The following is a 15,749-nucleotide window of genomic DNA, read 5'->3' on the forward strand; positions in this document are numbered from 1 at the left end:
CTTGTTATGTGAAGTTTAATTGCACATTCATCTTGATTCCTGATATTGCCAGGGTCCTGAGAACATTATCTGTAGCTGTATCTCCCCATGTGGAAGTTGGATAGCCTATTCTACAGTTTCTCGGTTTTTTCTCTATCGGCTGAATTATGAACATGACAACATAAGCCTCAAAAGGGTAAGTGATAGTCCAATATCTGGTCACATAAGAGGAAACTTCCTAAATATGTCATTTTTGTGTGAAGTGGAAATCAACTGGATGTGAATCCTTGCTCAGTTAAAAACTATTTGGAGATTTGGAGAAGGCTGTTATGAAACAGTGTTTTATTTCTTTCTTTCTTTTTTTTTTTTTTTTTGAGACGGAGTTTTGCTCTTGTCACCCAGGCTGTAGTGCAATGGCACAGTCTTGGCCCACTGCAACCTCCGCCTCTTGGGTTCAAGCGATTCCTGTGCTTCAGTCTCCCGAGTACCTGGGATTACAAGCACCCACCACCACACCTGGCTGATTTTTGTATTTTTAGTAGAGATGGAGTTTCACCACCCGTTGGCCATGCTGGTCCTGAACTCCTGACCTCAAGTGATTCACCCGCCTCAGCCTCCCAAAGTGCTGGGTGCTGGCATTACAGGCGTGAGCCACCGCACCCAGCCTTTTTTTTTTTTTTGACCGAGTTTCACTCTTGTCACCCAGGCTGGAGTGCAATGGCACCACCTCAGCTCACCGCAATCTCTGCCTCTCGGGTTCAAGCCATTCTCCTGCCTCAGCCTCCCGAGTAGCTGGGATTACAGGTGCCCACCACCAGGCCTGGCTACTTTTTGTATTTTTAGTAGAGATGGGGTTTCACCACGTTGGCCAGGCTGTCCTGAACTCCTGACCTCAGGTGATCCACCCCCTCAGCCTCCCAAAGTGCTGGGATCACAGGCATGAGACACTGCGCCCGGCCCACACCCAGCCTTTATTTCCATTTTGAAATTTTGAGGTATGTTCTTAGAGGGATAGGGTAATGCCCTACAGGCAATAAAATTAAAGCTTTTCTGTTTAGTGGTTTCACGTGCGACTTAGTTATTTCCTTGATAGAGAAGTGAATATTTAGTAAAGAGATGAAAGGGGGATGTATAGATTACTGGAGAGAAACCAGTGTTCTGTGCCGAGTCAGTTGGCTTACTTAGAGACAGGAAGCATTAATGTACCTTAAGCCTAGCTGTGATTGTTTCTGATGGGCTGTAGGTCTCCCTTCTCTCACTGGCTTTTATTATTGGTTCACCCAAAGGTTTCCAAAATGCCAGCATTCCTTCGCTCTGCCCTTCAGATTTTGTTTTCTGAAGATTCAACAAAGCTCTTTGTAGCATCAAATCAAGGAGCTCTGCATATTGTTCAGCTGTCAGGAGGAAGCTTCAAGCACCTGCATGCTTTCCAGCCTCAGTCAGGTGGGAATCTGGTAACTGGCCATGGGGAGACTTGTCGTGTCTAAGATGTAACTTTTTTGCTTTTAAGCCTCCATGTCGGGGGTTCCCTCATGTTCCTCCTACCCTGCAGATACACTCACTCACATGTTTGCTGTTTCAAGTAGGAGGAGATAGCTGGCAGATGAAGACTCTCGATGAGATCTGCAATGTTCTTCACACCTACTCTTTTCTCACTGGGTTTTTGATTCCTTATTTGGGGCCAGAGAAATTTCATCATCCTTAGTTTGTTAGCAGAACAAGAAGAAAGTTAAAGTCATTTGCAATCCTGACACCCAGAAATAGCTACCATTAATATTTTGGTATTTTCTAATATGTATTTGTATATAAGTATTTTGTGGGCATGTTGCCTTTTTTGGTTGTTTGTTCATAAAAAGGTACAATCATAGATGGCTGCCACCTCGACCTCTTGGGCTCAAGTTATCTTCCCATCTCAGCATCCTGAGTAGCTGGGACTATAGACACTCACCACTATGCCCAGCTAATTTTTTCATTTTTTTTGTAGAGACGGGGTCTCATTATGTTGACAAAGTTGGTCTTGAACTCCTGGGGTCAAGTGATCCTCCCATCCTGCCCTCCCAGCTGAGATTATAGGCATGAGCCACTGTGCCTGGCCCAAAAGTATTCTTATACATACAGTTTAATTACCTGTGTTCATATAATGTTCCTGAGAATTTTTCTGTTTTCATTGAGAATGTGAGTATTAATGAATGAGTGTGGCTATGTAGCTAGCTATGGCTAACTGTTAAGGACTTGGACTCAGTTTCCAGATTAAGCTGGTAGTTGTTTTGATACTTCCTATGGGCCTTTCACCTCTCCCTTGTCCTGGATTTTAGCTGCTGCTTCACTGTCATTTACACTCCCATCAGCCTGGAAAGTCAACTCTTTTTTTTTTTTTTTTTTTTTTTTTTTTTTGAGATGGCCTCACTCTGTTGCCGAGGCTGGAGTGCAGTGGTGCGATCATGGCTCACTGCAGCCTCACCCTCCCCAGGCTCAGAAAATCCTTCCACCTCAGCCTCCCAAGTACACAGGAGCATACCACCACACCCAGCTAAGTTTTGTATTTTTGTAGAGACAGGGTTTCACCATGTTGCCCATCCTGGTCTTAAACTCCTGGGCTGAAGCAATCCTCCTGCCTCAGCCTCCCAAAGTGCTAGGATTACAGGTGTGAGTCACCATGCCTAGTGAAAGTCAACTCTTTTATCTTCAACTCTCACTGTTCATAAGCTGATCCAGAAGCCTACAGGAGAAGAAACCCACAAGTTAGGGGTCAGATAAATCAAACTATTTATTATCTATATATGTTTTTATTACAAAACTTAGGCTATTTATCTTATATCTAGCTCTCCTTGAGATTCGACTCTACATTATGTATATGACTTTATTTTTTCCACTTCTCTCATCTCACTTCCCCTTGTAGTCAAAATGGTTTCTTCACAGCTCTCAAACCTGCATATTCTACTCCTCGTCACTTAGCTTGCACTGTTCCCCATCCTTTTTTCCTCATCCCCACCCATCCTTTGGCAGCTGGGTTATGCTTGTTATAAAGCCATGTTATCGTTTGGGGGCGTTACATGCAGCACGCATTTTGGCATAGAGCATCACTGTCCAATTTTTATCCCACACTAGTTGTCGTGTTGCCAGATTGGTTTAAAGTCTCTAGATGACAAAGATGGCTCAGACGTGCCCATCCTCCCTTAGTGCTAAATACACAGCAGGCATCCAATAAATTAAAGATATGCTTCAAGTCTATTGAACTTGCTGTTTGTCCGTAACTTTTTTTTTTATTATTAATTTATTTATTTTTGAGATAGAATTTCAAAAGACAGAGTTTCTTGTGCCCAGGCTGGAGTGCATTGGTGCCATCTCGGCTCACTGCAACCTTTGCCTCCCAGGTTCAAGTGATTCTCCTGCCTCAGCCTCCCTAGTAGCTGGGATTACAGGCACCCACAACCACGCCCAGCTATTTTTTTTTTGTACTCTTAGTAGAGATGGGGTTTCACCATCTTGGCCAGGCTGGTCTTGAACTCCTGACCTCAGGTAATCCACCTACCTCTGCCTCCCAAAGTGCTGGGATTACAGGTGTGAGCTACCACGCCTGGCCTGTCCATAATTTTGGCTTAAAAAAAATTTAGGGGCCGGGCACAGTGGCTCACACCTCCCAGCACTTTTGGAGGCCGAGGTGGGCAGATCATAAGGTCAAGAGATCGAGACCATGCTGACCAAAATGGTGAAACCCCATCTCTACTAAATATACAAAAATTAGCTGGGTGTGGTGGTGCACGCCTGTAGTCCCAGCTACTTGGGAGGCTGAGGCAGGAGAATGGCTTGAACCCGAGAGGCAGAGGTTGCAGTGAGCCGAGATTGCACCACTGCACTCCAGCCTGACAACAGAGTGAGACTCCGTCTAAAAAAAGAAAAAAGAAAGAGGCCAGGCACGGTGGCTCACGCCTGTAATCCCAGCACTTTGGGAGGCCAAGGTGGGCGGATCATCTGAGGTCAGGAGTTCAAGACCAGCCCAGCCAACATGGTGAAACCCCATCTCTACTAAAAATACAAAAATTAGCCAGGCATGGTGGTGGGTGCCTGTAATCCCAGCTAGTCAGGAGGCTGAGGCGGGTGAATCACTTGAATTTGGGAGTTGGAGGTTGGAGTGAGCGGATCCGCCACTGCACTCCAGCCCGAGTGACAGAGCTAGACTCCATCTCAAAAAAAAAAAAACAAAAAACAGAAAAAAAACCATTTGGTAGGAAAGGAGTTTGAAACAATTAAAGTATATATTTTAGTGGCAGATGCTGCCGTCATTCTCTATTCCTGTAGTAAGCAGTGTCTTAGGCCTGAGGAAGTAATAACTTCTGTTTTATCTCTCTGGACCTTCTTTACAGGCGGGATGGTTAAATAAGTAGATGAAAAAAGTAGAAACATTAACATCTAGAAGTAATTTGCACAGTGATCAGCAAATTATCCTGGCAGTGATTTAAAACTCTAATGGTCTCCTTGGCTTTTGCCATCATCTCCAGGGCAGGTCTGGCTGTGGACACTGTGTGAATTCAGAGATGTAACTGTTTTGTCCTCACAGGAACAGTGGAGGCCATGTGTCTTTTGGCAGTCAGTCCAGATGGGAATTGGCTAGCTGCATCAGGTACCAGTGCTGGAGTCCATGTCTACAACGTAAAACAGCTAAAGGTGAGCATAGGGTTTCATGGCAGCAGTTTGAATCATTGTACAGGAGCCAGTTCACCCTGCAGTTACAAGATTCAAGGCAGATTGGCATGACCTGGAAATTTATTAGACTTTTTTCTTTTTATTTTCTTTTCTTTTCTTTTTTTTTTTTTTTTGAGACAAAGTCTTACTCTGTCACCCAGGCTAGAGTGCAGTGGCGCGATCTCGGCTCACTGCAACCTCAGCCTCCCGGGTTCAAATGATTCTCCTGTCTCAGCCTCCTGAGTAGCTGGGATTACAGGTGTGTGCCTCCACACCTGGCTAATTTTTGTATTTTAATAGAGACAGGGTTTCACCGTGTTGCTCAGGCTGACCTTGAACTCCTGAGCTCAGGCAATCCGCCCACCTCGGCCTCCCAAAGTGCTAGGATTACAGGCATGAGCCACCGCGCCTGGCCAGACTTTTTTCTTTTTAACTAATAATTTTTCCAGGTTTGGAATCCTGTTTTATTTTTATGGAACCCGGAAGCTATACTGTGTAACATTAAAAGCAGCTAATGGAAACAGTGAAACCCATTCATACCTGGAAATTTGAAATTAATGATCTGTGGGTGATGTAAACACATCCAGGTTCTTTCTGTATTTTCGGGAGGAAAATTCTGATATACACAGACAAATAGTTGCAGATAATAAGAGTTCCTTTCATGGCTTGCCTTGTAATCTCAAGGTAAACATAATCAAAACTTCGAAAAAGGAATACTGGGAAAACATTTTTCACTAATCAGTAATGACGCTGTCAGTCATAAATTGAGTCATTAGTGATCCCTTACAAGTCCTCATCTTCATTATAAGAATCAGATTCGAACTACCCAAAACTTGGAATAAGCATTAAAAGTGTATAGAATAACATCAAACTGCAACACTTAATGGGTTTACCTGTTAACTGCATAGTGTAACCTTTGTTGCATTATGGTAGGAGCATGTACTGAGCACTTGTCTTTGAGCCTTGCCTGGCATTTAAAGAGTGTTTGTGTGTAGCGTGCACATGCTTTGCAATTGTACATAAAAATCCATGCCTAGGCATTTATTTATTTTAAACCTGGTGTAGAGCTGTAGACTCCCTATTCAATGACACATTTATAAGCAGTTTGTACAGATGGATTTACTCAGAGGGAAAGGCTTTACTCTCAGTTCTCCACAAACGCTGTTAGTTTTGTACGCGGTTAAATAAGCTTTTTATTTTTTTGAGACAGGGTTTCACTCTGTCACCCAGACTGAGTGCAGTGGCACAGTCACAGCTCACTGCAGCCTTGACCTCTCTGCTCAAGCGATCCTTCCACCTCAGTGTCCTGAGTAGCTGGGACTACAGGCGAGTCCCACCACACCTAGCTAATCTTTTTTTTTAGTAGAGATGAGGTTTTGCTGTGTTGCCCAGGCTGGTCTTGAACTCCTGGACTCAAGCGTTCCTCCCGCCCTGGCCCTTCCGAAGTGCTGTAGTTACAGGTGTGAGCCACTGCGCCCAGCCAATAGGCCTTTTGTTTTTTTTTTGAGATTGAGTCTTGCACTGTTGCCCAGGCTGGAGTGTGGTGGCGCAGTCTCTGCTCACTGCAACCTCCGCCTCCTAGGTTCAAGTGATTCTCCTGCCTCACCCTCCTGAGTAGCTGGGATTACAGGTGCACGCCACCACACCCAGCTAATTTTTTTAATTTTTGGTAGAGATGGGGTTTCACCATGTTGGCCAGGCTGGTCTCAAACTCCTGACCTCGTGATCCGCCTGCCTTGGCCTCCCAAAGTGCTGGGATTATAGGCATGAGCCACTGCGCCCGGCCAACCAATAGGTATTTTTTTAAGAAAATGAGGACTGGTGCGGTGGCTTACGCCTGTAATCCCAGCACTTTGGGAGGCCGAGGTGGGTGGATCATGAGGTCAGAAGTTCAAAACCAGCCCGGCCAACATAGTGAGACCCCGTTTCTACTAAAAATACAAAAATTAAGCCAGGTGCAGTGGTTCACGCCTATAATCCCAACACTTTGGGAGACCAAGGTGGGTGGATCACCTGAGGTCAGGAGTTTGAGACCAGCCTGGCCAACATGGTGAAACCCCGTCTCTACTAAAAATACAAAAATTAGCCAGGCATGGTGGTGGGTGCCTGTAATCCCAGCTGCTCGGGAGGCTGAGGCAGGAGAATCACTTGAAACCGGAAGGTGGAGGTTGCAGTGAGTCAAGATCATGCCATTGCACTCCAGCCTGGGAGAAAGAGTGAAACTCCATCTCAAAAAAAAAAAAAAAGAAAAACAAAAAATTAGCCGGGTGTGGTGGTAGGCGCCTGTAATCCCAGCTACTTGGGAGGCTGAGGCAGGAGAATCACTTGAACCTGGGAGGCAGAGGTTGCAGTGAGCTGATTATCACGCCACTGCACTCCAGCCTGGGTGACAAGAGCGAAACTCCATCTCAAAAAAAAAAAAAAGAGAAGAAAAAGAAATGAAAGTTCATTGGTTGGGGAAATGCCTGAAATTTTTGGAACTTCCCTAGAACCCTTTTGAATTATGAGGAGCAGTATTTAAACCCCTGACCTAGACCATTCAATCTTTGCTGAGGAAAAGTGTCACTTAGAGTTGCCACTTGTGTCTGTTATTTGTTCCCAGCTTCACTGCACGGTGCCTGCTTACAATTTCCCAGTGACTGCTATGGCTATTGCCCCCAATACCAACAACCTTGTCATCGCTCATTCGGACCAGCAGGTAAGGGAGATTCCAGTGCTTTCTATTCCCTTCCTGCTGGATAGTAACCTAGAAGCTGGAATATTGGGCAGTTGCGGGGAGCTTTTTTTTGAAGGTGTTGGAGGATATAAGGTAGTTTTCTCCTGTGTGAAGTAAAGCTTCCTTGCCGGTCTGGGCTCATCATAGGCCAGCAGTATGCATTGGTTTGATGGGATGCAATTTAAATGGAGAAGCACTAAGATTCTAGAGTAAAGAATCACAAGAGGGAGGAGGAATTTTGAAGTACTCATTTTCCTGATTGTTTTAGAGGAGAGATGACATGGGCTTGGGTATTAAACTGGATATGGGATGGAATAAGATTTTGAGAGTTGAAAGTGACTAAAAGATTGTATCATTCACCTTTACGCTTGCCGATGAGGAAATCAAGCCCTAATAAGATCAGGTACCTAATCTCAGCCAAAATTAGAACCTAATCTACTTTTTTCTATACCAATTTGTAAGGAGATTGTGATTATAAGGAGATCTTTAAAAAAAAAAAAACCTGGGCTGCGGAATATATTAGGAAGTTATCAATAATTATATTAGGAAGTTATCAATAATTCATCTGTAAAATTGGAGATGTTAATATCTACCTCACTGAGCTGTTGGGAAGATTAAATGTAATCCAGGAAGCACATTTAAGTAGAGTGCTAGGCAAATGATGCTTACTGCTTTGATGGTCAGTTTGTTTTTTTTTTTTTTTTTTTGAGACAGAGTCTCGCTCTGTCGCCCAGGCTGGAGTGCAGTGGTGCGATCTCCGATCACTGCAAGCTCCGCCTTCCGGGTTCATGTCATCCTCCTGCCTCAGCCTCCCGAGTAGCTGGACTACAGGCGCCCGCCACCATGCCCGGCTAATTTTTTGTATTTTTAGTAGAGATGGAGTTTCACCATGTTAGCCAGGATGGTCTCGATCTCCTGACCTTGTGATCCGCCCGCCTCGGCCTCCCAAAGTGCTGGGATTACAGGCTTGAGCCACCGCGCCCGGCTGATGGTCAGTTTTTACACTCACACATGCACACACACACTGTCCAAAAAGTGAAATCTCTCAGTTTTATAGATTTGAGTCCTTGACCAAAGACTGAAAGAGTAGTGAAGCCACACATCTTTGCCTTTGTCACACATAATGATAATTTCCCCCATGACACCTTTTACTGGCACTTAGTCCCTTAAGTGCTTCTGAAAGTAAAACTGATGGGAAGTTTTTTATATCTGTTAGATTAGCAAAGATCAAAGACTTGATAATATACAGTGTTCTGAAGGTATAGGGAAACAGTACTCTCACACATTGTGTAAATTATCCTAACCCTTTTGGAGGACATGTTGGCAATACCTTAAAAATTTTAAAGTCCACATGGTCTTTGACTTAGAAATTTCAGTTCTAATCATTCTTTATATATATATATATATATATATATATATGTATATATATATCTGTATATAGATATATATGCTTCTAGCTGTGCAAAAAGACATTTATACAGAGACAGCTTTGTTTGTAGTAGACAAAGATATGAAACAAGCTAATGTCCATTAAGCAGAGTGGATAAGTAAATCATGATACATGGACAAAATGAGTGGACTATTCTGTGTTTCAGAATGGGCATGACCGATATATATGTGTATTAATGTGGGTCAGTCTCCGTGATATAACACTGAGCAACAAAAGCAAGATACAGAACGCTATGTATTATGTGCATAAAATAGCTCTGAAAAGATGGGCAGGGCGCGGTGGCTCACGCCTGTAATCCCAGCACTTTGGGAGGCTGAGGCGGGCAGATCACGAGGTCAGGAGATCAAGACCATCCTGGCTAACACAGTGAAACCCCATCTCTACTAAAAATACAAAAAATTAGCCGGGCGTACTCGTGGGCGCCTATAGTCCCAGCTATTTGGGAGGCTGAGGCAGGAGAACGGCTTGAACCGGGGAGGCGGAGCTTGCAGTGAGCGGAGATCACGCCACTACACTCCAGCCTGTGTGGCAGAGTGAGACTCCATCTCAAAAAAAAAAAAAAGTGTTGGGAGAGCATAGAATGAATATAATACAGTTGAAGCTTTGTATAGATACTTTCTGGTTAGGGATGAGAATGCCCTTCTGGTCTTTCTGAGTACCAGCCTGCATTTCTCTATGTCATGTCCTCCCTCAGGTATTTGAGTACAGCATCCCAGACAAACAGTATACAGATTGGAGCCGGACTGTCCAGAAGCAGGGCTTTCACCACCTTTGGCTCCAAAGGGATACTCCTATCACACACATCAGTTTTCATCCCAAGAGACCGATGCACATCCTTCTCCATGATGCCTACATGTTCTGCATCATTGACAAGTCATTGGTGAGTTCTTCACTGCTACCTCCCAAATCTTCTTCTGAATCTTAAAGTTCTAAAAGCAACAAGTACAATAAGGTAAGAGGACAGAGACTCAGAATAAAGGTAGCTAGTAAATCAGAATACAGGTAGCTAGTACATTTCTTGGAGGAGAGGGGCTTTTGTTTTACAGATTCCCTGGTTTGTGTTCCCACAGTTCTTCGGGAGGCTCTCGGGGAAGGGGCTGGCCTTTGTATACTGGCTTTTGCTGATTTGACTATTTGTCTACTTTGCGAGTAAGCACATAAATCTTACACAGAAAAGTGATTAGGCCAGTATTCGGAAGGTGACCCTCATCCGGAAGTATCATTGATTTGGCTAACTTGCTTTCAACTTTGAACTCTGGGGTATCTGAATAACCTGGTTTCATTAAAGGAGGTACAGGCTGAGGTTTTGACCTCTGTGCCCCTTCGCTAAAGCTACTAAAACGCTGTCTGCAGGCTTGAGGAACTGGTCTTAACATCTTCGAAAAACCCAGCTAGGAAAATTCTTCATGGCTGTGATTTACATGGGATACGAGCATTTTCTTCAGTTTTAGATTCTGTCCTCTTTGCCAGCTGCTGTTTTGATTCACCCTGAATTTGTATGGCTTTTCTGGGCAGGTGCTTTGTTTCCTAGGAGCATTGTGGCCATGCCTGTCCTGCACTTTGGGCTTAGATTACAACCATCACACGGTGTTTTGGTGTGTTTGTGAAGGTGGGGGTGGAAGGAACATGGGGGAAAGCAGCAGATGGCTCTAAAGGAGGTGTGCACGGGGATGTGTCACTGGAATCATCTCGTGGGCCCTGCGACCTCTGGGTGTGGGAAGCAGAGCTGGCTGACAAGTGCCTTCTGCAAGATGAGTGATACAGGAAGGGCCCCTCCCACTCTCTTGCCTCTTTGTAATTGAGCCCAGATCATTTTTTCCAAAGCATTGGCTTTAAGTTCATCGCTTCCTTACAGTAGGCATAGCTATTTCCCAGGAAGTCAGAGACAAAATATCATTTCTTTGGCCAGAGGCCACCTCGAGGTGTCAGTGACATCAGCACAGGTGGTTTGTGTTGAGGTTTCGCCTGGGGAGAACTCCAGTCACTTGTCCAGTCTGTGATCTGGTTGGGGGAGAGTCTAGAAAGCACAGACCCTGTGTGGGCTGAGCTCCTGCACTTGCCAGTTTGTTCCATTCTGACAAAGTGATACTGATGAGACAGGCCAGAAGCCGCAGAAGGGCCCTTTGATCTTGCTGCATGGAGTTAACAAGCTCTCTTTGCCTCATACACCCACCCTCTACAGTGTGGCTGCAAGAGTAGCTTCAGCTCTTTCTCCCTCTCTCTCCTTTTCTTCTTTTTTTCCCCCCTAGTTTTTCTGAATAGAGGTATTATGGCTACAGCTGTTTTCCCGAATTAACGAATGTCAGGGAGGTACTGAATATATATGATGGTTAGAAGATGATGTTGGGCTCAAAATGCACTACAGATCTTTGGTCTGCAGAAGCCCAATAAAAGTAACCATTTAAACAATGTGTCTTTGTTTTTTTAGCCCCTTCCAAATGACAAAACCTTACTCTACAATCCATTTCCTCCCACGAATGAATCAGATGTCATCCGGAGGCGCACAGCTCATGCTTTTAAAATTTCTAAGATATATAAGGTAAAACATCTTGTGTTGTTATTCTGGATAGTTGGTTCCTTTGTGATACCAAAATGTAATAAACTCCACAATCGGAAGATAAGAGCACCTTCAGTTTCCATGCAGAGAACCTGGCTTGTGGGAGACAAGTCACCTTTTTGAGGCTGGCTGTCCCTTGTATATGTTTTATTGTTCTTGCCTTAGTAGGTTAGAGGCAGGCACATCATACTTAACCAAAATGAAATGCGTAAGTAGTGAGAAATGTTGGCGCTGAGGGTAGAGTCTTTGTTGTCATGAGAGCTGGCTTTAAATTTTACTTGTTGGAGTGTTCCATAGGATAAATGTCAAGCAGGCTGGGCTTGGTAGCTCATACCTGTAATCCCAGCACTTTGGGAGGCCAAGGCAGGTGGATCTCCTCAGCCCAGGAATTCAAAACCAGCCTGGGCACCATGGTGAAACCCCATCACTATTAACAAAAAAAAAAAAAGGAGAGTTCTGTAAATTACTGATTACTCAAATGACTCAAATGTGATTAGCTTCTTGATGCATTTGTAGCTTGCCAGTTGTCAGTTGCCTTAGGCTGGGTATGGTGATTCACGCCTGTAATCTCAGTACTTTAGGAGGTTGAGGCTGGAGTTCAAGACCAGTCTGGGCAACATAGTGAGACCCTGTCTCTACAAAAAAAAAAAAAATATAAAAATTAGCTAGGTGTGGTGGAGCATGCCTGTAGTCCCAGCTGCTCAAGAGGCTGAGATGGGAGGATAGCTTGTGCTCAGGAGTTCAAGGCTGCGGTGAGTATGATTGCACCACTGCACTCCAGGCTGGGTAACATCGAGATTCTGTCTGAGAAAAAAAAGAACTTAGGCTTTAAAGTCCTTGCTTAACATTGATTCTTGAGATATAAGAAGCATAGATTTTCTATCCAGAGAAATGTAAAAAAATCCTGCTGAGACCTTTTATGAGTGAACTTAGTTAAAAGCTCCCAATCTTGGCCGGGCGCAGTGGCTCACGCCTGTAATCCCAGCACTTTGGGAGGCCAAGGTGGGCGGATCACGAGTTCAGGAGATCGAGACCATCCTGGCTAACACGGTGAAACCCCATCTCTACTAAAAATACAAAAAATTAGCCGGGCGTGGTGGTGGGCACCTGTAGTCCCAGCTACCCGGGAGGCTGAGGCGGGAGAATGGCGTGAACCCGGGAGGCGGAGCTTGCCGTGAGCCGAGATTGCGCCACTGCACTCCAGCCTGGGCGGCAGAGCGAGACTGTCTCAAAAAAAAAAAAAAAAAAAAAAAAGGCTCCCAATCTTGAGCCAGGCGCAGCCGTGCACACCTACCTATTGTCCCAGCTACTCAGGAGACTGAGGCAGGATGATTGCCCAGGAGTTCAGGGCTTCAGTGCACGTTGATCATGTCTATGAATGACCACTGCTCTCCTGCCTAGGCAACATAGCAAGATCTCTAAAAAATAAAAAAAAAAGCTTTTATGCATTCCAACTATTTTGAGTCCCAGGGCAGGAAAGATTGTCAAGAAATTTAAATCATTTGAGCCTTGAACTAGGCTAACCTTTTAGCTTAGATGGTGTCTACCTACAGTCAGTTCTTTCAGGACTAGCCCTGGATCCTAAGTCCTGATAGAATAATTATCATCCCTCTGCAGCCTCTACTCTTCATGGATCTTTTGGATGAAAGAACACTCGTGGCAGTAGAACGGCCTCTGGATGACATCATTGCTCAGCTCCCACCACCCATTAAAAAGAAGAAATTTGGAACCTAAAACAGGGCACTGTCTGTGTCCTTCCTTGAACTGTCTACCCTGTTGCTTTTCACAAATCATGGTAATAAAACAAGTTATTCTTGAGGACTAGTCATTATAAATGTTTTCTTCCAAAATAATGGACAGTCATTTCCCTTCATTGAATGAAAATGAATGGAAATTCCAAATGAGGTATTTGTATTGGGGATAATGTGCTCAGTAGCTACAAACTCATCTAATGTTGATTGAGTCCTGCTTATTCTGTAGGCCGCAATCTCAGAAGAAAAGATATTTGTGTTCTGTTCCCTATTACATGCCTAAGGCTTCAGAGAGCTGATAGCCTTCACTTCCTGCCAGCCCCCAGCCCATGGAACTGCGTAGGAATCTGCCCATCCTCGCCCTGGAGGGCAGAGGACCGTAATTACTTACCCAGGATAGCCTGACCACTAATAACCATAATCAGCCTTAGAGTTCAAGGAAGAATTTCAACTCCAGCATTATAAGGGAGTGCTCCATCTAAAAAATAGATGCCTTTGACCTTTGACAGTCAGCCGTTAATTTTATTTAAAAGTAAAAAAAGCTTGGGTTATCAGTCCCATTAACTGCCTTTTTACCTGTTATGTGCTGGTTTCAAAAGGTATGGAAGGGCCAGGCATGGTGGCTCATGCCTGTAATCCCAGCATTTTAGGAGGCCAAGGTGGGAGCATCCTTGAGTCCAGAGACCAACCCGGGCAACATAGGGAGACCCTATCCCTAAAGAAATACAATATGAAAAAAAAGATACAGGAGCTGGGCACACATCAGTAGTCCCAGCTACTCGAGAGGCTCAGTGGAGCCCAGGAGCTTGAGACCATAGTGTGCTATGATCATACTGGTGAATAGCCACTGCACTCCAGCCTGGGCAACATAGTGTGAGACCCTGTCTCTTTAAAAAAAAAAAAAAAAAAAAGGGTAAGGAAACACTGGGCAGGAATTTTGTTAGGGATTAAGAGTAGAGATGGGGACCCGAGAGCCCACCATGTATTTCACATTTTTCATTCTCTTCTACCTGCTCTGACATTGTTATTCCCACGTGTGTTATCAACTGGCCAGTTTTAATGTGATCTTTAAATTAGAAAGTGAAGAACTCTAGTTAACTAAACTGAGCAGATAGATTTCTTTCCCTTCTCGGGATGTATTCTGTTGCATGCCTGCGTAAACCCAGTTTGTGTGGTTTTTGTTTGTTTTGGGGATGGAGGGCTGAAGTGTGGGCAGAGAAGTGTGTGGGTTCTGATAACATCTTGAATGAAGGGTTGGTGAAAAACATTTTGCTATGATTAGCCCCACCCTCCATTCTGGAAAGGGAAAATAAATGAGGATTTAAGGTAGATGTTTGGGGGGAGAATTAACAGAGAGAGAGAGGTTATAAGAGAGATAAACAGAGCCCAATAATTTATCACATAAAGGACAGCCTATTTTAGGTTTGATAAGAAAGAACAGATATGATAAGATTTATAATGGATGTCTTTGCCTCTGCCCCACCTGTTAGGTTTTACAGTGATAGGAGTAATTTAAACAAATACCTGCTGGGCGCCATGGCTGTAATCCCAGCACTTTGGGAGGCTGAGACTGGCAAATAGCTTGAACTGAGGACTTTGAGACCAGCCTGGGCAACATGGTGAAACTCCATCCCTACAAAACATACAAAAATTAGCCAGGCGTGGTGGCAAGCACCTGTAGTCCCAGCTTCTCAGGAGGCTGAGGTGGGAGGATTGCTTGAGCCCAGGAGGAAGAGGCTGCAGTGATCCCTGAGCACGCCGCTGCACTCCAGCCTAGATTTTTTTGAGACCCTCTCTCAAAGAAAACAAAATACCTGCAACTTTTTAGGTCACCTGTGTAAAAAAAAACTTGCCTCTTGTTGAATACATTTTTTTCTGTAAGGTATATTTTTCCAGTCTGGATTAGACTGGACTATTAGGGACCTTTTTAGTTTACTGAAGATTCTGTCCTTTCTAAGAAATGTTTTAAGTGGTTGAAATGACAAGTTCAAGTTGCTGGTCTACATTGAATACTTGTGAACAGATGGAGGCTAGGATGCCTTAAATAGTAACTCACTTGTGGCCCGGTGCAGTGGCTCACACCTGTAATCCCAGCACTTCGGGAGGCCAAGGCAGGCAGATCACTTGAGGTTCAGGAGTTCAAGCCAGCCTGGCCAACATGGCAAAACCCCATCTCTACTAAAAATACAAAACTTAGCCAGGCATGGTGGCACACGCCTGTAATCCCAGCTACTTGGGAGGCTGAGGCAGGAGAACTGCTTGAACCTGGGAAGCAGAGGTTGCAGTGAGCCAAGATCGCACAGAGCGAGACTCCATCTCAAAATAAAATAATAAATTAACTCACTTGCTTTTCACTCGTTGTAGAGCTGTAAATTCAGAGAATCCTTGTCAACTGGAATCTAGTTTATGGCTTAACTTACTTAAATTCTAAAATCTTGTGGGTTGTGGAGGATGTAATTCTCACAGAGAGAGCCCACAGATCATCTGAATGAGGAAGTAAAAGTTCTGAAAGTAGAAAGCATTCCTTTTCAACTTTTCCAGCCAGTGATTTGTACTTCCTTAAATGGTATGGGAAGTAAGTGCTTTGGGCCTTGAAATTCTTCCGAAGTAGAA

At 44.3% G+C, this 15,749-nt stretch overlaps 1 protein-coding gene across 4 annotated transcripts in view; it reads left to right on the forward strand.

Moving 5' to 3' along the window:
* Nucleotides 1-13,203, forward strand: part of UTP4 (UTP4 small subunit processome component) — a 36,373-nt gene extending 23,170 nt beyond the window's left edge. For 3 of the 4 annotated variants that reach the window (NM_032830.3, NM_001318391.2, XM_005256205.4), the window contains 7 exons: nt 53-175; nt 1,266-1,422; nt 4,538-4,644; nt 7,265-7,360; nt 9,523-9,708; nt 11,257-11,367; nt 13,003-13,203. In NM_032830.3, coding sequence (NP_116219.2) covers nt 53-175; nt 1,266-1,422; nt 4,538-4,644; nt 7,265-7,360; nt 9,523-9,708; nt 11,257-11,367; nt 13,003-13,119 — 897 coding nt within the window. In that variant the 3' untranslated portion in view covers nt 13,120-13,203. Of the gene's footprint in view, nt 1-52; nt 176-1,265; nt 1,423-4,537; nt 4,645-7,264; nt 7,361-9,522; nt 9,709-11,256; nt 11,368-13,002 lie in introns of those variants that run through there. The other variant, XM_047434817.1, reaches the window with a different exon arrangement.

This window comes from Homo sapiens, chromosome 16 (assembly GCF_000001405.40).
Source record: "Homo sapiens chromosome 16, GRCh38.p14 Primary Assembly".
Lineage (NCBI taxonomy): Eukaryota > Metazoa > Chordata > Mammalia > Primates > Hominidae > Homo > Homo sapiens.